Below are 21752 nucleotides of genomic sequence, written 5' to 3'. Positions count from 1 at the left end.
GAGTCTCACTCCGTCACCCAGGCTGGAGTGTAGTGATGCCATCTCATCTCACTGCAACCTCCCCCTCCCGAGGTCAAGCAACTCTCACGCCTCAGCCTCCTGAGTAGCTGGGATTGCAGACGTGCACCACCACGCCCGGATAATTTTTGTATTTTTAGTAGAGATGGGGTTTCACCATGTTGGCCAGGCTGGTCTCTAACTTCTGGCCTCAAGTGATCCACCTGTCTCAGCCTGCCAAAGTTCTGGGATTACAGGTGTGAGCTACGGCACTCAGCCTTATTCCCACTTTATAGTCAAAGAAATTGAGCAATGATCTCAGATCGTCTCTCTTTTTGTTGTCCTTTGTTTTGTTTTGTTTTGTTTTGTTGAGACAGGGCCTCACTCTATCACCCAGGCTGGAGTGCAATGGTGTGATCATGGCTCATTGCAGCCTCAGACTCCTGGGGTTAAGGAATCCTCCTGCCTCAGCCTCCCAAATAGCTGGGACAACTGGTGTGCAACAACATGTCCAGCTAATTTTTAAAATTCTTGTAGAGACCTGGGTTGCCCAGGTTGGTCTCGAACTCCTGGCCTTAAGCAATCCTCCCACCTTGGCCTCTCAAAGTGCTGGGATTACAGGTGTGAGCCACTGCACCCGACCAGATGATCTCTTTATTTTTATCTCTCCCTCATTTCCCCTTCTTTTCTTCCTCCTCTTCCTTATTCTCTTCCTCCTCCTCTTCCTTATTCTCTTCCTCCTCCTCCTCCTCTTTCTCTTCCTCATCCTCTTCCCCATTACCATTATGAAGGCTGAGACTTATGGAGCCTTCCATATAACAAGCACTGTGTCATATAGAAGACGGTGCCTGATACCTGACTGGCACCATCTCAGTTAATCCTCCCAACAGCCCTGTGAGGCAGACACTCTTGTCACCTAATTCTTAGATGAAGGAACCAAGGCTCAGCATCACACTTGGAAACCCCCATTCCAGCTGGGACTCAGGGGTCAGTGGAGACTGTGTGTGTCACTAGCCTCAGGAGCTGTGGGGTTCCCAACAAGCATGATCAACAGAGCATCCTCTGGACCCAGTCTAACCCCAGGCACCTCCTCAACAAACGCCCAAAGACCAGGAGCACCTAGGAAGAGTGCAGAGGGGTGCTGAAGCAGGCATCAGGCCTCCAGGAGGCATCTTCACTGCAACTTAGACCAGGAGGATTTCAGGAGCCTCTCCTGGGAAATCACCAGGGGTCTCCTTAAAAGGTGCTAAACCTTACATTGCAACTTCTAGAGTCTGTGAATTTGGCCTTGGAGAAGGGCCATGGTTGCAGAGAGACCAGATACCAAGCACTCTAGAGAAAGAAATAGAAACAACAAAAAACACAATGACATTTGTTAGTTTAACACCATGGGGCATTTTTCAGGTTCCAGAGCGTTGGGAAGACCTATACATTGCCAGAAGCTACAAACTGCCTTCCACATTCCACTCTGAGGATGTAGCTGGGATGGATCTGGCCAGGGCTGGGGGGCTGTATATGTGCCTCTCCTTTGGCCAAACCCAGATCTTTCCAGGAGGCAGGATATAGTAACCAGGCTCCGGAGTCAGCCAGATGAGGGTGTAAACCCAAGCTTCACCATCGACTTCCTAGTGGTGTGGACTTGGCAAATTATTTAGCCTCTGGAAGCTTACGTACCCCCAGGTGTAAAATGGAGCATAGCGTGGTCATGAAGATGCAGCAAGCCGAAGATGTCTCTCAGCCCAGTGTCTGACACAGGAGGCGGCTGATCATTGCTGGTCATTGTTCATGCTGGCTGAGGTTTCTCTCTGTCCACCCCTTTCCTGGGCTAAGAGGCCCCTGGTAGCATTCACAATTGGTTATAAGACATTTATGTTATTCTAAAGATGGATGTTTTCCATTTCCCACTTCCTACCTCTTCCCTTCAAATCTGCAGCTTTTGCAAAAACTCAATGTTATTATCATGAACATTGCCAACTAGAGTTTTAGGATGTAAAAAAACCGAACTAAGTGAACGTGGGCAAAGGAGGGAAACTTCTCCCTGAAAGATAGAACTGTTCAGAGAAAATTTTGGAAGCTTAACTTTATTCCTAATTGAGGCAGAATTTTCTCAGCTTCGCAGATATGTATCAAATAATTATAGCTCAACTGCTATAATTCAGCACCTGGGCTATGGTGAAATTATTTTTTATGCATCACTTGAGCTGTTTGATGTTTGATTTATGCCTGGATGTCAAGGCACTAAACAGAGATCTAACACAGCGTCCCTAAGGCAGCTGCTATTGCCAAGTTGAGGGGGGTTGGTGTGTTAGAGACTAGAGATCACTTACCAGTGGCATGACCAACCACACCAACTATCCTAGCTGCCTGGAACCAAGGAGTTTCCTGGGATGCAGGACTTTCAGTACTAAAACTGGGGAAGTTCCCGGGTAAACCACAATGCATCTGTCACCCAACTTACCAAATATGTAGTCTGGCCTTTTTCGAAACAAGCAAAACCATATGTTAATCAGGGCAACAATGCACCCTACTAAAAAGCTGGATTTCCCAGCTTATCTTGCTGCTAGAAATGGTCATGTGATACAGTTCTGGCCAGAGATATGAGTAGATGTCCCAAACGGAGCTTCTGAGGAAGCTCTTTAAAGGGGGATAATTCAGCAGGTGCCTCTCCTCTTTGACCTTCCACTTCCTTGTGTTCTCACCTAGAATGAGGGTATGATGACTGGAGCTGCTGCTGCCATCTTGGGACGATGAGGTGACCTTGAGTGTGGGTATTATGCCTCTAGGATAGCAGGACAGAAAGCAAGGAGCTCAGGTCCTTGATAGTATTAAGAAGCCACCTTCCAGTCCTGGCCTTTTCCTTTTACGTCATTTCTTTAAGCCACTCTTTTACAGGCTTCTGTTCACAGCAGCCAAATCTGTAAAGTGACCAACTATCCTGGCTTGCCTGCGATTGTCCCAGTTTTAGCACCAAAACCCCTCAACACCTGGCAAACCAGGACAGTTGGTTACCCCAGAATGCGATTCCTAACACATACAGTTAGGATTTGAGGACTGGGTGGATTCATGTGGGAGGAAGTTTCTAAGGAAAAGCTGATCCTGAGGAGGCCCATGGATGTGACAGGATGGGATGCCACCTCTCCTGCCCTCACCAAAGGGGCTACAGGCCAGGCCATAGAGAACACGCATTGCTCTGTGCTGGTATAAAAATAAACATCATGAGCAAGTGCAGCCTCTGACAGGTAGACAGCAGTTACTCAGCACGAAGCACCTGGAAAGCAGGGTACAAGACCGTCAGTCTCCTTCCCTCCCTGAACAAATGGTTTTCGAACATCTGCTATGTGCCAAGCATGGTGCTTAGCTCTGGAAACAGAGTGGGATGTGAAAAAATCAATGCTTCTTACCCTTCTTGGGGAGACAGACAATGAAAGATCAATAAGTAAATATATAGGTAATTGCAACTAGAATAATGGTTGTAAAGGAAAAGATGTAGAGGTATGTATAGGAAGCAGGGGATCAGGGCACCCACTTAGATGAGAACAGGTAAGACTCTTTTCTACCTAATGAGTGAGTAGAGATTGAAGAACATGAGTCAGTCTGAACAGTGCTCCAAGCAGAGGGACTGGCACAGGCAGAGGCCTGGAGGCCGGAAAGGGATTTCTGAGTTGAAGACACAGGAAGGAACCGTGGCTGACACTAGTAAGGGAGAGGACAGGGAGGGATGAGCTTGGAGAGGGAAGTGGCCACATCCTGCCAACTTGAAGGTCTAATTTTCGGTTCCCCCACTTGTCAGCTGTGTGACCCTCAGTCGTTAGTTAACCATGCTGAACCTCAGTTTTCTCACCTGTAAAATGAGATCATCATGGGGTGGTTTGAGGTGAAGAAACTAAAATACAAAGTACATGAGCCATAGAGAAAATGGTAGCTATCGTTACTGTCTATCCCCAAAAGGGAACAGTTTCCTCAGAGGAACGTTATTCAGTCAATGATACAGAGGAATAAAAGGAACACGACCTTGCCAAAGCAAGACTTCCTACAGGGAACCTCCTGGAAGCTGAGCTCATCTTTATGGTCCTGGCAAGGGCCTCCCCCAGTTCCTTCCACGCTGCTCTGCCCCCAGGTGGTGGGAGGCAACCTCTGAACAGATAATTATAGCTGGGAACACAAAGGAATGCCTATATTTCCCTTTTTCTTTATTTCTGGAATATTCCCCATCCCCTACAATTAGCCTTCCAGGCACCAAATGGGTGGAGTCTCTATCAGTTGTCAAATGGACACTGGGAAAGGCAGGGTGGAAGCCAGGATGTCCTTTTGATGACAACTCTGCTGGCTTAGGGGTCACAGGATCCTTAGGGGTCGCTTTTCCAGCTTGAAATCTCTGTGGCCCGTGGCTCCTTTGCCTGAGTTTTGCTCAGGCCTGCTGGGCTCGTTCCACCCACTCAGACTGGCAGACTGCTCTCTGCTCATGCTACTAGCCCAGATGCCACGTGAGCCAGGCATGAGTGGTGAGGGGTGTGTGAGTGAGCATGGAGTCCGGCCAGGCATGGAGTGGTGAGGGGTGTGTGAGTGAGCATGGAGTCTGGCCAGGCATGCTTGCTTCAGCAAGGCAGGTGCTCCAGGCACCAGCTCCCTGCGAGGCTGCAGCTGGACCAGGCGTACTGCAAGCTGCTTCCACTGTGGGCACTGGGAAACATGGTGGTGCCTGGAAACTTGGAGATGCCAGGAACCATACAGACTCAAAGACAGTGTCACAGCCCTGGCTTGAGTAGTTCCTACATCTGGGATCCCCAAAGAGCCACAGCTCTTTTCTTTTTCTCATTGCCTGCAACATGGCAAGTGGGGGGCATGTTTCAGTCCTGTTTGTGTTACAGATTTTTCAGTCCTGCCATTCCTCAGGTCCCAAGTGCTTATCCCATGCCCAGGGAGAATGAGGTATGCGGACAACTGGAGAGTGAGCAAAGCAGAGAGGAGCTTCACTGAGTGACAGAACAGCAGCTCTCAGGAGACCCAAAGTGGGTAGCTCCTATCCTCAGGCAGGTTGTCCTGATGTGTGTCCAGCTCTCAGCGGAGAGGAGACCCACAGTGGGAAGCTCCTTTCCACAGGCAGGTGTTCTGACAGGTCAAGGAAACCCAGAGCGGGTAGCTCCTTCCGGCAGCTGGTAGCCCCAAGTCTCTGTGAGTCCGGCTGAGTCTGGGTTTTTTATGGGCTCAGAGGGGAGGATGTGCATGTTGATTGGTCCATAGGTAGCCATGGACAGGCCCAGAAAAGCACCATAAGTTTTCTCTCCAGACCACGGACTCCACCTGGAGCTGGCAGCTTGGCCCCCAGGCTTCAGGCAGTCCCTGGCTTGGAGGTTTCACTGGGACCCACCCCTTTCCACCCAGGAACCTGTCTGCCTCTTGCCATCAACATGCCATCCACAACACCCAGGCTGTTTGCACTGAGGGGTGCCTGCAGGCCTATGCTGAGCTGCCCTCAGCCCCACACCAGCCTCCCTTCTGCGCTCATCAACACCCAAAGTCTGGAGGGGGCCGAGGTGGCATGAGGGGCTGGCATGTCAGCACCACCCCAAGCGTGTGCCCACCCAGCTGGGTTGTAACAGCACTCAGGCTCGGCTACAACTTTGCTCTGAAATTGGAGTGGGCACTAGGAGCAGGGAGACACCAGGGAGTAACAGCAGGCACTTCCGAGCCTGTGGGGGCAGGGGCGAAGGCAGGGGCATGGCAGGGTGCTTCAGAGGTCCCCAGGAGCACAGGAATGCCTGGCTATGGAGCTATGGCTGGGCAGCTGCAATTGCGCCTGGGAACGTGGGGCTTCCACACCGCCAACATGGTAGTGAGTGGGGCTCCCACCTGTTCCCGGCTGCTGTTGGCTCCGTGGAGCATGCGGCCCCAGCTGCACCTCCCTTGCTGCAGCTGGCATCCCCACAGTGACTGCTCTAGACAGGCCATGGCTGTCATCAGCTCTAATACTCAAGCCAGCCCTGCCCTGCACAGGACCCGCTAGTTTTCCCAGACACAGGATGGCATTAGCCCAGCTTCTCTGCAGAAACAGCTCAAGCAGCAGCAAGAGCTCACAACTTCACTCTAGCATTTTTCTTGTAGTCTCTACTGGACCAAGTGCAACCATGAAAAGTTTCTGAAATAAATTATAAGCCCAAACCTCTCTCACTTTTCCTCCATACAGGACTTTATGAAACCTCTGTAAATGTGCCTGGCTTGCCTTTGCATCTCAGAGGCTGGATTTTGCTTTCTGTGGAAGAAGAAGCCTGGATGGAGATCTCGCTTTGTAGTAACTCACCCCCAATGACTCCATGACTCTCAGAGCCCATGCTCAGCTGGACCTCTCACTATCCTGACTCTGCACGCCTCTGCCTCCTCCTCCAGACGCCTGTCCCTGGCTTTTCTCTTCATTCCATTGTGTCTGCCTCTGAACTCCTGCACATGGCTTTTGTCCTAGGCTGGGTTCCCCAGAAGCAGACCCTGACACCAAGACTCACAGGCAAGTGATCTATTAAGGACATGCTCTCAGGGGAGACCCCTGGGAAGTGAGGGCAGCAGGCCAAGAATGAGAAGAAGCCAAGCAAAGGCGAGACTCCAGGCAGCCCGGGAAGAGTGGCTGCAGCCTGACCCCTCAGGGACTCTGGGCCATAATTCACACCAGGGAGCTTTCCTGACCAGGCGCCAGGAGTCAAGCTCTCCTAAGCCCTACCAGTTATTCTCTGGGTAAGGACCACCCTGAGGGTATAGACTCCCAGGTACTTCTGGATCTCTGGACCTGCCCCATGTAGTTCTGATAGCCTGAATTAGTTCTCCGAAGACTAGTCACTGGAAAGAGAAGTGCAGAGGCAGTGATGCAGGACAGGTGAGCCCTAAATTGAGGCTTAGCCCACCAAGATTCTTGACTTCAGCCAGAAAAGTACTCAGTGGTGAGCCAGTGGTAGAGTAGAAGAAAACAGCTTTATTGAAGCAGCAGTGTTACCGCTCTGTGCCTGTTCCTGTAGAGCAGTCTACTCCATAGACAGAGAGTACCATCTCAGGGCAGTTCTGTAGTCAGATTCATACCTACTTTTAATTGCATGCAGATTAAGGGGTGGTTTATGCAGACATTTCTAGGAAATGGATAATAACTTCTGGGTTGTCAGGTCATTGCCATGAAAAGAGGCAGTAACTCCCGAGTGTTGCCATGGCAAAAGTAAACTGATGTGGTGCACTGGTGGGCGTGTCTCATAGAAAGCTCCTTCCACCCCTGTCTTTGTTTTAGCTAGTCCTCAATTCATTCTGGTGTCCAGCCCTGTCTCTGGAGTCCAGTCCAGCCTCCTACCTCAGCAGAAGCATGTGGGAACAGTAAAAGGGATCTGCAGGGTTCTAGGTGGAGCACCACTCCCCTCCAGCTTCCTCCCACCTGGACATTTCATGAGTGAGTATTTGCCCTCACCTCATGCAGATTGCAGGCTGTGAGCTCCATGCTTACATCAGACCATTTTATCTTCTCCATTCCAGAGCCCAGCTGACCCTCAGTCAGTAGTGAATGAGGAAATAAATTTGTCAGAGAGGGTGCTCCTGAGACCTGGGACTGGCTGGGGTCAAGGGCTCATGTTTTTGGGGGTGCACCTAGCCCAGGCCTGCCTTATTCCAACTGAGCTCTCCTCCCCACCTTCCCATTCTTTACGTGTTTCACAGCTGGACCGTGAAGGCTGTGGGAGAGCACCAGTGAGGTAGGAGGCAGGAGTTTACTCCAGACCAGATTGGAAACTGGCTGAAACAGGGAAAAGGCAAAAGCCCCTCTCCATAAGACATGCCCACCAGTGCCATGTCAGTTTACCATTGCTATAGCAACACCTGGAAGTTACCGCCTCTTTTGATGGCAACAACCCAGAAGTTACCACCCTTTTTCTAGAAATTTCTGCATAAACTGCCCCTTAATTTGCATTTAATTAAAAGTGGGTATACTATAACTGCAGAACTGTCCCTGAGCTCCCCACACACTGCCTGGGGGGTAGCCCTGCTCTGCGGGAGCAGTCACAGAGCTGTAACACTGTTGCCTCAATAAAACTGTTTTCTTCTAGCACCGACTCACTCTTGAATTCTTTCCTGAGCAAAGCCAAGAACCCTCCCAGGCTAAGCGCCAACTCTGGGGCTTGCCTGCCCTGCATCACCAGATGTCGTATTCCTCTAGCACTGTGGTTTGCTGGGTGGAGTGCCCAGATCAGCAGCACTAATATCTGGGAACTTGTCAGAAATGCAATATTTTAGCCCCACCCCCAACAAGGAATCAGAGATGCTGCGGGTGGGCCCAGAAGTCTAAGCTTTAACCAGTCCCCAGGTGATTAAGGACCATGGCTCCAGCACAGTGTCAGGGCCCCAACAGGGATAAGGGGGTCTCAGTTAAGATTGTTGCAGCTGAAGTATCTGCAGTGGTGGGTGTTGGGGGCATCTGACCCCACATCAGACCCTGCCTTTCCACATCCCCTCCAAAGCCCACCCATGCATCCACCCATCCACTTACCATCCATTCATCCATCTTACCCATCCATTCATCCACCCATCCATCTCACCTACCCATTCATCCATTTATTCATCTATCTATCTCACCCAGCCCCGATTCATCTTTATCCTTCCATTCATCCACCCATTCATCCACCCATCCATCTTACTCATCTCCCTACCCACCCATTCATCCATCTTACTCATCTACCCATCCATCCATACATCCATCCATACATACATCTCACCCATCCATTCATCTCATCCATCCATCCATTTATTTATCCATCCATCTCACTCACCCACCCATCCATCCATCTATCCATCCGTTTTACTCATCTACCCACCCATCTATCTATCCATCTCACCCACCCATCCATTCATCCATCTATCCATCCATCTGCCCACCTACCCATCTATCCAACCATCCATCTCACCCACCCACTCATCTATCCATCCGTTGTATACTTATGTGCCAGGCACCATCCTAGATGCTGGGGACACAGTGATGAACAACACAAGGGCTGGTTCCAGGTGTTCTGCTCACACCGATTTTGAAGAAGGAGCAGAAGACCACTCAATCCAGCTCAAGCTAAAGGGACATTGTTGGGGAATGCACAGATTCTGAAGGCAAGAAATACACTGCACCCTCTGGAACTGGGACTGGGGGCCAGGAGCCAACCTACTCTATATGTGTCTTAGGAGTAACATGTTCTCTCAACTCTGACTCTGTCCCTCCTGGAATCCTTCTTCATCTCTCTCTCTCTCTGTTTCTCTTTCTACTCTCCTTATCTCTGCCTACCTGCTTCATTCTCTCTTTTCCCAACTAACTTCCTCAACATATGCATCTTCAGCTTGATCCAGCCTTGACTTCCTAGACTTACAACAACCTAATCTTTCAGCACAAGGGTCTACCCTACATGGAATCTCTTCTCTGAGTCTCTTAGTTCAAGTTTCCATGACAGGAAATTTTATTGGCTTGGCCAGACTTATGAACAGGCGGTCTCGAAGTCAGGTGTTCACCCCTTGACCAGGTAGGTTGGAATGTGGGATTATTCAGACTAGTTGATGCCCACTCAGCAAGGACTGTCTCTGCTTCTAAGCTTTTTCTTTTACTCCCACAATCAGTATCTCTGTCAGGAGGCCTTTGGACACGAGTTTCAGGAACCCCTAACTTAAATAAAGGAATGTTATTATCTCCATGGCATGAAGTTGAGAGACAGGGTGTTTCCAGGTGCAGAAGGAACATCTCAGGGATGACATCAGACCCTGGTTCTTTCTGTTTCTCTGCTCTGCCAGCCTCGGGGTCTTGGCTTTGCCTTGGGCAGTGTTCCTCGAAAGCTGGAGTGAATTTGCCACTGACCTCTGGGTGGTCGTGAGATGGCATTTCATGGGTGGTCATGAGATGGGCATTTCAGGTTCAGTTCTAGACAACCACATTCAGGGGAAGGAGTAGACCTCTGCAGGCTGGCCCTCACAACTCATAGCAAAAATGGTTCAGATGCACTTCCTTCATCACACCTTGGAGGAGGCAACAGGGCCACCACAGCAAACCTGCCATAAGACCTAACCTGTTTCTCTGAGTGTTTTCCAAAGATGCACCTTACTTCCTCAGCCATCTCCTTCTTGTCATCGTTTGTGATAATGGCACAGTTCTAAGCAATCCTTCCTGCCTTCTGTCTCCCATCCTGCAAGGGGCAGTCAGAGCAGTCTTCCAAGGTTATTGTTCTATATGCCACTTTCCTGCTCAAGAACCAACTATGACTTGCTGTTACCTACTGCATCCAACTGCAACACCCCTGTTGAACTTTCAAGACCCTTCAAGACCAGTGACCCTCAAACACAACCTGTCTATTGGCAATTATTTCTGGCATATCCTTAGTTCTACCATTTGATCAAAGCAGACTATTCCTGGATAGTGACTAAACACTGTGCCAATTTCTACTTCCTTGGACTTTTCTCAATCTTTTCCTTCCACCTGAAACACCTTCTCCTCTCTTCTATCTACTAAAGACCTATACGCATCCTTTAAGTATGGTTATAAGAGGCGCTGGACACAGGACCAGCATCCAGGAGATCACACAGGGGGAATGGAAAAGACTTTGAGGCACCATGACTTGGGTTTGAGTCTCGTTTTTACCAGGACTGCGTGATCTAGGCATGTCAAAAACCTGAGCATAAGTTTTCTCATTTTTAAGACAGTGACACCATGATATATTTCATGGTGCTACCTCGCGGGTTAAAAAAGTAAAATACACATAATTAGGGAGTGTGCAGCACATATTAAACACTCAATAAACAGCAAATATGCTGAGAAAGCTCCCAAAGAAGCAAACTTTGTCATGATTGTCTCTGTTGCTATTTCTATTGGGAGCTCTCTTTTTCCCAGCCCAGTTCCTGATTTCTTATTTCATCTGCCTTGGAAGCTGGAGTGAATTTGCCATGCTTCTGGGTGGCTTTGTTCTTGGGTGTGAAGCAAAGAAGTTGCTGCCCAACAGATGCACCAGACCTGTATTCACACTTGGGCTTACCTGAGAGCCTGGCTAAGGCATGGGGTCTCCGAGGCTGTTTGACAAGTGAGATGTGTACCCAGCTTGGAAAGACCCAGCTTCTCCACACTTCCTGGCAATTTGCTCCCCTTATATGATTGTCTCTGGATGTCTTTTGCCCATGGTCTGCCTCCCAGGTCTGCTCAACCGGGTGACAATTGCAGGCACCAGCTCTGAAATTCACTACCGATAGCAACAAGGAAAGACTCATCCCTGGGAAGCAACACTGAGCAAGAGCCCTGCTCAGCAAGGCAGGGTTCTTGGTTCAGGTGGCATTGCCAGCCCTGACCATGCTCGACCCTCTGCAAAAGAAGACAGAAGCTGTCCATCTCTGGGACATCCCGGGGTGGAACAAAGGCTTCCGGTTCTCACTTCTCTCACTACTGCCCACAGCCCACCTCAAACTCAGAGGCCAATGAAGACAAGCACTTTGGTGCCATTAGCCCTTAACATCAAAAGCTAAACATTACTACCAGAGATCTTGCCTGAATGGGAAGATTCAAGACTTATGAAAATGCCCTCAAACCAAAAGATCCCCTTGGGGATCCTCCTGGCCTCAGCATCCTAAGCCCATGCTGAGAGCCTTTCAGCGTGGTTGGAAAGGAGGTAAGCTGGGCTGGGGAGGCACAGTTGATACAGGGGTGATCCAGAACACAGCCCAAGGCTTCTAGCTCTCTGGGAGACCATGGGCTTGTTGTTTCAGCTGGCAGAGTCTGCATGGTTGGATCACAGCAGGAATGGCAAGCAGATTCCACCTCCCCTTCCAGCTCGGATTCAACAGTGACTGTCTGTTGCTCTGGGCTGAGAAGATTTCTGTAGCTGAATCTTGGATTGGCAGCACTGCTGCTATTGCTGCTAGCTACCACATATGGAGTTGTACTAGATACCAGACAATATCAAGTGCTTTACACATATTCCATTTTACTCTCACAACAACTCTGTGAGATAGCATTTTGTATGTCTGTTTTGTAGATAAGGGAATGGAAGCTCAGCCAGGTTAAATAACCTGCCTTAGGACACATAGCTTGAAAGCGAAAGATCCTAGATTCAAAGCCAGGCAGTCAGGTTTTGGAGCAGAACCTTTGTAACCTCTGCACCCTGTGGAGTGCTAGAATTGATTAGTGATGTCTACCACAAGTGCCTACACGGCAGTAATAGAACATATGCTGTGAATTTGGCATATCTAGATTTTTCAGTCTCTGATTCAGGACTCAAAGGCCCTAAGACTTTGCATCACCCTTAGATCTGAGCCACCATTTCCATCATCAGCTATTTCTTCAGTAACTCCATTTATGTTCAATCCAAATGTCATTTTTAGCATTACTGCTTTTCATTTCTTAGCTGCACTTTCATCTTTGTCCCTGATTCTCTCTTTGGATTCCTCACTTTTATAAAATGCATGTGGGCTTATCACGGGGAAACAAGGAGGCAATGCAACTTCAAGCTTTGCTGTCTGTGTATGAACTGAATACAGATGGGCAGTGACCAGTCTTTGACAGACTTTGAAGTGGTGACATGATTGGTCATGGATCGCGATGTGCACCTGTTATTACATAGTAATTTGTGGGCTGTCAAGCTAGCAGGGAAGTTTGTAATTTATGCAATTATGCACAGTTAACATACTGTGGTAACTTAAAATTGAACCGTGTTGTTGGAGAACTGGAGTTATTTGACCAAAACGTTGTGACCGACATCTGCGCACATTGGAACTTCACAAAACGAGGACCTTCCCAAAAGGAGCCCGTGGAAAAAGACCAGCCCGCAGAAAAAAATCTGACAAGGAAGGCTTGCCTTGCCTCTCTCTGCCTGTCCACACTCTGCCCTGACTCCAAGATCACCTAAGCCCTGCCTCCTTCAGGAAGGCTTCCTGGCTTTCTCTATGATGTTTCCTTTTTCACAGCCCTGCAACTACTTCCATTCGGAAGCACTTGGTGTTCTCAAGAGCAGCCTCATTGTCCTCTGTCTCCTTAGATCAAGGCACACCTTCATCTGGCACAGAGGGTGGTATTCACACCAATGGGCACATGAGTTAATTTCTAGGTGTACCCTGATTAACAACTTGTTTTCGTTTTAACAATTTTTCAAATTTATTTTTATGGCTATCTTATATTTGTGGGAACTGATGCTGGTTTTACATCTATGGTAGTGATAGAGTAGTTCTTTTCAAAGAAATGCATTTATCTGAGAAAGGTGAGTCAATTATTAGACTAGGTTGTATGAGGATACCGAGAAATTCCTGAAATTCTAAGTGGATGGTAGAGGTGGGGAAATATGGCTCTTGACTGATTATGGAGGGGAAGGAGTTTGTCTCATGCAGGATTTAGGATCAGTTCCATCATTATCACGCTCTCTACGACCTCCTGGCTCAGTGCTACCCACCCCCGCAACAGGCCCAGCTGGAGCCCCTGCTAGGGTGACCAACTCATCCACGTTTGCCCAGGACTTTTCTGGCTTTAGAACTGAACGGCCAGCCACAGCCCAGAAAAGCTCTGAGCCCTGAGCCAGCAGGGATGGACGGCCACCTGAGCCTTTGGCTTTGACCCTCCTTTTCCATCAGTTTCTCGAAGCAGCTGGGAGGCTGACCTCGCTGTGGTGGAGAGTGGAGACTGAGGAGTCCCATCATCTCAGTCTCATCCAAGTGCCCTGTGTGATCTCAGTAGGGTTACCAGATTTAGCAAACAAAAACTCAAGACGCCCAGTTAAATGTGAGTTTCAGATGAACACAAATAATTTTGCAGTATAATGATTTTATAAATTGTATTTGTCCTATATTTTATCTGGCAACTCTAGGAGTGTGCGATCTCACAAAGCTTCCTCTCCGTGATCTAGAAATGTAAATTAAGTAAGTGAATTCCTAATCTGGTGAAAAGTAAGTGACGTGACCCTCTAATCTGGCAAACAGTAAATTCCTGGAAAACAGTAGATGCTCAATAAGTTACTGACTTTGATAGTTCTGCCACTCCCTGAAGGTGTGAATAAGTGCCTACAGGTTGTGAGTGGGTTTTATCGCCCTTCCAGGCACAAACAAAAAGTTCATGCCGCCTTTATTGGTTGACTCACTGAGTGGTTTGCAGCAGGGTTGGGGATCACAGCCTTTTGCCTGGCTAGAATTTAAGGAGACTGAAATAAATTGTAGTTGAAGAGCTACCAACACATTTTTCTCATTACATGCATAGAAACCCGTCTTCCTAGGACCCGGCCAATGACCACATGACCAAAATGATCACTTCACAGGGCATGATAAGGTCGGGGAAGATGTTGTGGGAGCAAGCACCTGATTATTAGCTCCCTCGCCTTGGGCAAATCATTTCAACTTCTACGGACTTGTTTTCTTATCTGTCAAATGGGGATAAAGGAGGGTTGCCCAGCCTGCCTTGTAGCTTAGAAGAGCATGATGAGGACTGCCCTAGAGGGAAGAAGTGAAAGCACTTTGCAAAATAAATGTTTTGACAAACACCACTTCCCTCCTGAGAGAGGCAGGCAGAAGGCACGTGGCTTCAGAGGGCTGATCACTCCTATCTGCTTCGTGAATCTCTATTCTTGCACACATAAGACTCAACTTAACGAAGGTCACTGTTGTTTGTTCCAGAGCCTTGCACTGTTTCTGGCACTGTTGAACAAATGAATGAAATCTAGAATCAAAGATTCAGTGGCAGCACAGAGAGATCCACCCAGGGCCTTTGAGGTCATCTGTTCCCAGGCACTGGCTCTGCACTGGGAGAAACCAACACCTGGAGCAAGTGGCCTGCCCACTCAAGAGGACCCGTCTAGATAACAGAGAGCTCCTGGCAGCATCCTGGTGCACAGGATGGTGTGGCTTTAGAATCAGGCAAATAGTAACAGCAGGAGTTCCCCGGGGTGTGCAATACTGGGGAACCAGCCCACTGTGAAGTGCTTGACATAGGTGACCTCACTGGAGCCTCATAACCCCACAGTGAGGAAGGAACTATTATTATCCTCATTTTGTAGTGATGAACTGAGGCACAGAGAGGTTAAGTCATTGCCTGAGGTTGTCCAGCTGGGATGTGGAGCCTCACTTACTGGAGATGCCCAGCCCCCTGGGGCTCCTATTCTCCACTGCATTTTTGTGCCTCCTCCTTCCTGGAGCTGGGGGCCCATTCTGTATGAAGGTTCTGTCAGAGGCATGTAAATAAGAGCAACTCCATGTTGAATAGGAGATGGGTAAAATGAGGCTGAGACCTACTGGGCTGCATTCCCAGACAGTTAAGGCATTCTAAGTCACGGGATGAGATTGGAGGTCAGCACAAGATACAGCTCATAAACACTTGCTGATACAACAGGTTGCAGTAAAGAAGCCAGCCAAAACCCACCGAAACCAAGATGGCGATGAGAGTGACATCCTGTCGTCCTCGCTGCTGCACTCCCACCAGCGCCATGACAGTTTACAGATGCCATGGCAACGTCAGGAAGTTACCTTATATGGTCTAAAAAGGGGAGGCAGCCGGACACGGTGACTCATGCCTGTAATCCCAGCACTTTGGGAGGCAGAGGCGGGCAGATCACGAGGTCAGGAGATCGAGACCATCCTGGCTAACACGGTGAAACCCCGTCTCTACTAAAAATACTAAGAATTAGCCAGGCGTGCTGGCGGGCGCCTGTAGTCCCAGCTACTCGGGAGGCTGAGGCAGGAGAACGGTGTAAAACCGGGAGGAGGAGCTTGCAGTGAGCCGAGATTGAGCCACTGCACTCCAGACTGGGCAACAGAGCAAGACTCTATCTCAAAAAGAAAAAAAGGGGGGTGAGGTATGAATAATCCACCCCTTGTTTAGCATATCATCAAAAAATAATCATCAAAATGGGCAATCAGCAGCCCTCAGTTTCTCTTACTCCTTTACTTTCTTAATAAACTTGCTTTCACTTTACTCTGTGGATGCCTCCTGAATTCTTTCTTGTGTGAGAGCCAAGAATCCTCTCTTGAGGTCTGGATCTGGACCCCTTTCCTGTAGCAGCTCCACTCCTTCTTGCTGCATGGCCTCCAACTGGGATGGGATGCTCTGAGTCTCCCTGTCCTCGCCTGTACAATTGGGCAATAATAATGCTACCATGGAAGGGGGCCCAGGTTCGAAGCCAAAAACATGAGCACTGGCTGGGATCCAACCCTCCACTGTCCTACACCGGAGCCTGGAAGGTATCAAATCCTGGTACCACCATTTGCCTGCTGTATGACTTTAGGCACATTACTTAACCTCTGTAAGCCTTACTTTTCTCCTTTATAGAAATCAGAACAATCATAATGTTACAGGAGATGGGTCCCGATCCAGACCCCAAGAGAGGGTTCTTGGATCTTGTGCAAGAAAGAGTTCAGGATGAGTTTATAGAGTAAAGTGAAAGCAAGTTTATTAGGAAAGTAAAGGAACAAAAGAATGGCTACTCCATAGACAGAGCATCCCAAGGGCTGCTGGTTGCCCATTTTTAATGGTTATTTCTTGATGATATGTTAAACAAGGTGGGGGGAATTATTCATGCCTTTCCATTTTAGACCATATAGGGTAGCATCCTGATGCTGCCATGGCATTTGTAAACTGTCATGGTGCTGGTGGGAGTGTAGCAGTGAGGACGACCTGAAGTGTCTCTCATCGTCATCCTGTTTTGGTGGGGTTTGGCTGACTTCTTTACTGCGGACTGTTTTATCAGCAAGATCTTTTTGACCTGTATTTTGTGCTGACCTCCTATCTCATCCTGTGACTTAGAATCCTTAACCATCTGGGAATGCAGCCCAGTAGGTCTCAGCCTCTTTTTACCTGCTCCTATTCAAGATGGGGTTGCTGTGGTTGAAACGCCTCTGACAATAAGCGTGCACCCCATGGGCAGATGTGAGGATTCAGTAAAACACTGCCACATCCAGCAGCAGTGTTGGGGCTGGAACGCAGCTTGGACAGGGCAACAGGCACACACAGTGGACTTTGGAGGAAAAAAATGTCCGTTGCATCCCCCGCCTTTTTGTTTTTTCAGATGGAGTTTCACTCTTGTCGCTCAGACTGGAGTGCGGTGTCATGATCTTGGCTCACTGCAACCTCCACCTCCCGACTTCAAGCGATTCTCCTGCCTCAGCCTCCCAAGTAGCTGGGATCACAGCCGTGCTCCACCACGCCCAGCTAATTTTGTATCTTTAGTAGAGATGGGGTTTTGCCATGTTGGTCAGGCTGGTCTCGAACTCCTCACGTCATAATCTGCCCACCTTGGCCTCCCAAAGTGCTGGGATTACAGGTGTGGGCCATGGCACCCGGCACCCCCCTTTCCCTTTTCAGGCTTCTCAGCTAAAGCTCTTTCCTCCTAGCACCCTGTCTCCCCACACAAAGGAGGAGACTCCCCTCTACCTCTTCTGCTCAGTCTGTGGACACAGATGTGTCTTTCCGTAGATCAAACACACGTTCCCTCTGCATCTTCATTACAATTGCTATAGAAGAAGCAGTCAGATACCTTTAAGTACTCTAACAGGAATGTTTAGAAGATTATTTTCTAACACATTTTAATATGTCTATGGTATTCTATCGACCAGGTAATTTTAAGAACAAAACAAAGTATTTTGCTGGAAATGCAGCACCCAGGAATGAGAGAGGTTTTTTAATCTGAAGGCGTTTTCATTCGAATGGGAACAATAAGTGCCTCTTTGGAAACTGTTCTCCATCCCAGCGCTCAGCTCTCTTCTAATTAGCACCGAATAACAAAAGTATAACAGTAGCACCTCTCCTCCCAACTTTTCTAACAGCCTGTCAGAGACAGGACAGTGTGAAAAACAGCTCGATTTATGAGCGACTTTGTCATTTTTTTCTGTTTAAAATAAAATGTGCCCACCCTGGGGGAAAGAAAAAAGTCCCTGAGGATTTAACTGCAGACAAATGAGCCCGGGGTGGAAACCGGAAGGTGTGGGGGTGGGGAGGGAGGTGTCAGGCAAGGGGCGGGGGGCGGGTCACCTCTTGGATGTGCTGAGAAAATTCTCACTGGCTGTGTGACCTTGGACGGGTACCTTCCTTCGTGGAGGAAGCTTCCTCCTCTGGAGCGAAAGGAGGATGGATGCAGGGATGTGTGGAGAAATGGAAACCTATCACGCCTCTCTGTGGCAGGCATGATAGGACAGTTCTAAGCGTGTTACCTGCTTTGCTCCAGTTAACGCTCATTCCGCCCTATGAGGGAGGCCCTGGTGTGTTCCCCGCCTTAATCACAATGTCAACAGCAGACCTGAGGCTCCGACCCTGCCCTGTAATCCTGCCGCCGATGCTGCTGAGACAGGAGGTCACTTCAGCAGTGGCAGATGCCCTGAGGAGGCTGAGAGATGCAGCCCCACACTGAGCTTTCTGTTGCTTTGGGTTCTTCAGAAACTAACATCATCTTAAATATTATTCATTCATTCAACACTCATGTACTAAGGTCTTATTTGATGCCTTATTTGCATTGAGTAGAAACCTGGGGGTTCAAAACAGGTAAGACAAGGTGCCTGCCCTCCAGGGACGGAAGCCAGATGTGTAAATAACTCATTCATTCGACAAATATTTATTGAGCATCTACTATGTGCTCAATCTAGGGGCTGAGGACATGGCAGTGAGTGAGGATTAAGATCCTGTCTCTATGGCGCTCACACGGTGGCAGGGTTAGCAAGTGGGCAGGTCACTGTGGATGGTGATAGTAGCCCCAAGTGAAATAAAGCATGGGAGCATGATAGGAAGGGCAGCTGCTGGGACGATGAGGGAGGGCCTCCTGGAAGAGGTGGCATGGGAATGTGGATCTGAATAGCAAGGAACGAGCCACAAGCAGAACTTGGAGAGGGTGTTCCAGAAAGGGTAAACGCCCTGAGGTGGGAGCTGGGTTTGGGGGTACCCAGCTTGGAATTAGTCACCGTGCAAAGGTGGCTGGATGCAGAAAAGGGGGAATCACTGCAGTGATCGTTCATGAAGAGCTTCTCAAGGAGGAGGGTCTTGCTTGTTTTTTTTTGCATCCCATAATGCCCTTTGTCAATTTGCCCATGCGTCTTTCCTTCTGTATAGCCGCCCATCCACCCCTTTATTTAGTCGTTCTGATTCCAGCTCCCCAGGCGTCTGGTTTACCCACGAGGAAACCAATGTGAGGGAAGATGTGGCCTCTGAACCTGAAGACATTGTAGTTCCATTGAAGAAATAACAGCAGCAGAATGTTACAATCCTACTCAACGTTTACTGAACACTTAGAGTGGGCAAGGCGTGGGGAAACCATCTCACACGTGAATCAGCTGGGCTGCTTGTGCCTTGTGTGGCATAGACCCCCAACTCCAACCGATTTGGGTAAAGAGAGAATGCATTGGTTTAGGCACAGAAAAGTCCAGAGGAGGAGATGGCTTTGGGTACAGCTCCATCAAAAATCAACCCTGTCTCAGCTGTGCTTGGCTGGGTGGCAGCCGCTCTGATCTTACAGCTTCCAGGCTCAGTTGCGGGGATCAGGACAGGAGCCTCTCTCTTAAAGTCCCAGCAAAAGCCACATTGTCTCTCATTGGCTCTGCTCAGGTCACATGGCCTCCCTCAGCCAATCCCTGTCTCTAGAGAAATATGATTCTCTGATTGGTCAAGAGCCAAGGGTGCGGCCCCCACCCACCTCCCACACTGGAGTCCAAATGGGAAGGAGCGAGCGACCCCCCGAGAGGCTCGGGCTTGGACAGGGCAGGGACTGACGGACTCGGGCATTCACCTGCACAGTGGCAGCTCACTCTCATTGGATCCTTTTATTGATGAAAGGGGACAGACATCATGATCCCATTTTACACTGAAGAAAGAAAGCTTGAGGAATTTAAACGGCCAAGAATGGGGTGGACCAGAAACTAGACTTGTTGTTTCTCCTAAGTCAGTGGCTCTCCTATGTCTTTTGCAGTAGAATTGCCACATTTAGCAAATAACAATACAGGGTGACCAGTTGAATTTGAATTTCACATAAACACCAAATCCTGTCTTACTATAAGTGTGCTCCAAAGTATGTAAGATACAAGACAGAAGAAAAGTATTTGTTGTTTATCTGAAATTCAAATGTAACTGAGCATCTGTATTTCGTCATTCAACTCTACTCGCGGGGGATATTCAGCAATATCTGGAAACGTTTTCTATTGTCCCAAGTTGGGGAGGGGAGGGTGCCCCTGGCATTGAGGACGTTGCTACACATCCTGCTCTGCACAGGGCGGCCCCCGCAGCAGAGAATTCTCCTGCTCCAGTTGTCACTGTTGCCCGTAAGTGCTACGATCACCATGTATAGCTCTAGCATGGAAGACAGAAAGGCAACGGGCAAAGCAGCCCCACGCCGGTGGCCTTGCGTTTGCTGTGTGCATGCAACAATTCATGAGGCGCTGAGCAAACCCCCGCCGCATCATGAATGGGGCCTTCAGTTGAATTATTTGGGTTTCAATTTGGAAACGCTCAAAGGAAGCTAACGAGAATCTTTGAACTGGGCTTAGGCATCCACACCCAGGCAGGCTGAGATAAATCGGATCTGCTGATACTCACTGGAGAAAGGAGAACATTCAAAGGGAATTTTAAAAGTTGTGCCTTTCTATTTGTTGTCGACATCTCCAAGAGACGGCTCTGAAATGAATCACCCTCTGCTGAGGAACGTGCCCCGACCTCTCCCTCCTGGGCTCATCACAAGCCCCTGTGTCAGCACCAGGCAGTGGATATGCTCAGCCTTGTCCCAGGCCGGGCGGGCGGGGGCAGGCGGCAGGTGAGGAGGATGAGGATGGTCGGGCCCTCCCTTCCAGACGAACCCACCTGGCCAGCTTTGCTTTGGGGAAGAACAAGGGAGCCGATCTTTTAGGCTGGGCTGGTGAGTATCACTCTCTCAAGGGCTGGAGAACTATTTATCATGTCTTCCATCAGACTTACTAATTTTGCCTGGTGTTTCACAATGCACAAAAGCCTCGTGTTGTAACTGGGGCTGTGACACAAGGTTTCAAACCCACAGAGCCATCCCTGATTTGCTAAGCAAACTTTTATGAGTTTGGATTCTGTTTTGTTTTGTGCTGGTTAGGTTGTATCTGGGGAGAGAGGGGATGGAGGGACATACTGGTTTTGTGTGCACATGTTGCATAGATGTAGCTTTCGTCTTTGAAGTTTAAGACCAGTTGTAAATTCCTTGAAGTTCGTCCTATTTCCTTTTATATGAGCGTGTTAACAAGCTTTGGAAAACTGACAGAGCTTACAGGAAAGCATAGCTGGGTTGCTCCCTGAGCCGGGGCTTTAATTCAAACCAGAACCGGGGCCGGAGCACTGTGGCCCGGCTGGTGTTTACAAATGCAGCAGGAAGAGCCCGCTGCACAGTGATGAAGCCATCAACCTCAGATGCTTTCTGTAGACAAAGCCCCAGTTGGGATTAATTAAGAAAGGAAATGCCGCAATACTCCAAATCACTTCTCTAGTGGAAATCTTTGCACCAGATGAAACTCAACAATAAAAATGGAAGAAGAAAAAAGCAAAAAAATGAAAACACCTCCCAGAAATGTGTTGAACGGACACTTAGGTTTTTGTCAGTGAGGGCAGCCGAGGAAATCAGCTTCCAGTTCCTTGCACTGGAATCATGTGACATTTTCTACATACCCAGGAAGGAGAAGGCACCGGATAGGAGGCAAAGCTCTCCACTCCCAATTGGAAGCAGACCTTCTCATCCAAGAATACACTCTGAGCTCCCTCATCAAAAGCACTTTGGTGGGAGAGAATCAAGGTGCAGAATCTCCGTGCCATATGACAAGTCTAA

At 48.8% G+C, this 21752-nt stretch overlaps 2 annotated features.

Annotated features, from left to right (window-relative positions):
• Window positions 14681–15474: an enhancer, noted in NCBI's record as "H3K27ac hESC enhancer chr20:55407707-55408500 (GRCh37/hg19 assembly coordinates)". NCBI's record gives its function as "activates a minimal SCP1, AML or CMV promoter by ChIP-STARR-seq in primed H9 embryonic stem cells {active_cell/tissue: H9 hESC(primed)}" and the evidence as "EXISTENCE:reporter gene assay evidence [ECO:0000049][PMID:30033119]".
• Window positions 15475–16268: an enhancer, noted in NCBI's record as "H3K27ac hESC enhancer chr20:55406913-55407706 (GRCh37/hg19 assembly coordinates)". NCBI's record gives its function as "activates a minimal SCP1, AML or CMV promoter by ChIP-STARR-seq in primed H9 embryonic stem cells {active_cell/tissue: H9 hESC(primed)}" and the evidence as "EXISTENCE:reporter gene assay evidence [ECO:0000049][PMID:30033119]".

Source organism: Homo sapiens, chromosome 20, assembly GCF_000001405.40.
Source record: "Homo sapiens chromosome 20, GRCh38.p14 Primary Assembly".
Lineage (NCBI taxonomy): Eukaryota > Metazoa > Chordata > Mammalia > Primates > Hominidae > Homo > Homo sapiens.
Note: the sequence above shows the minus strand (reverse complement) of the source record. Positions and strands in the feature narration are given on the sequence as shown.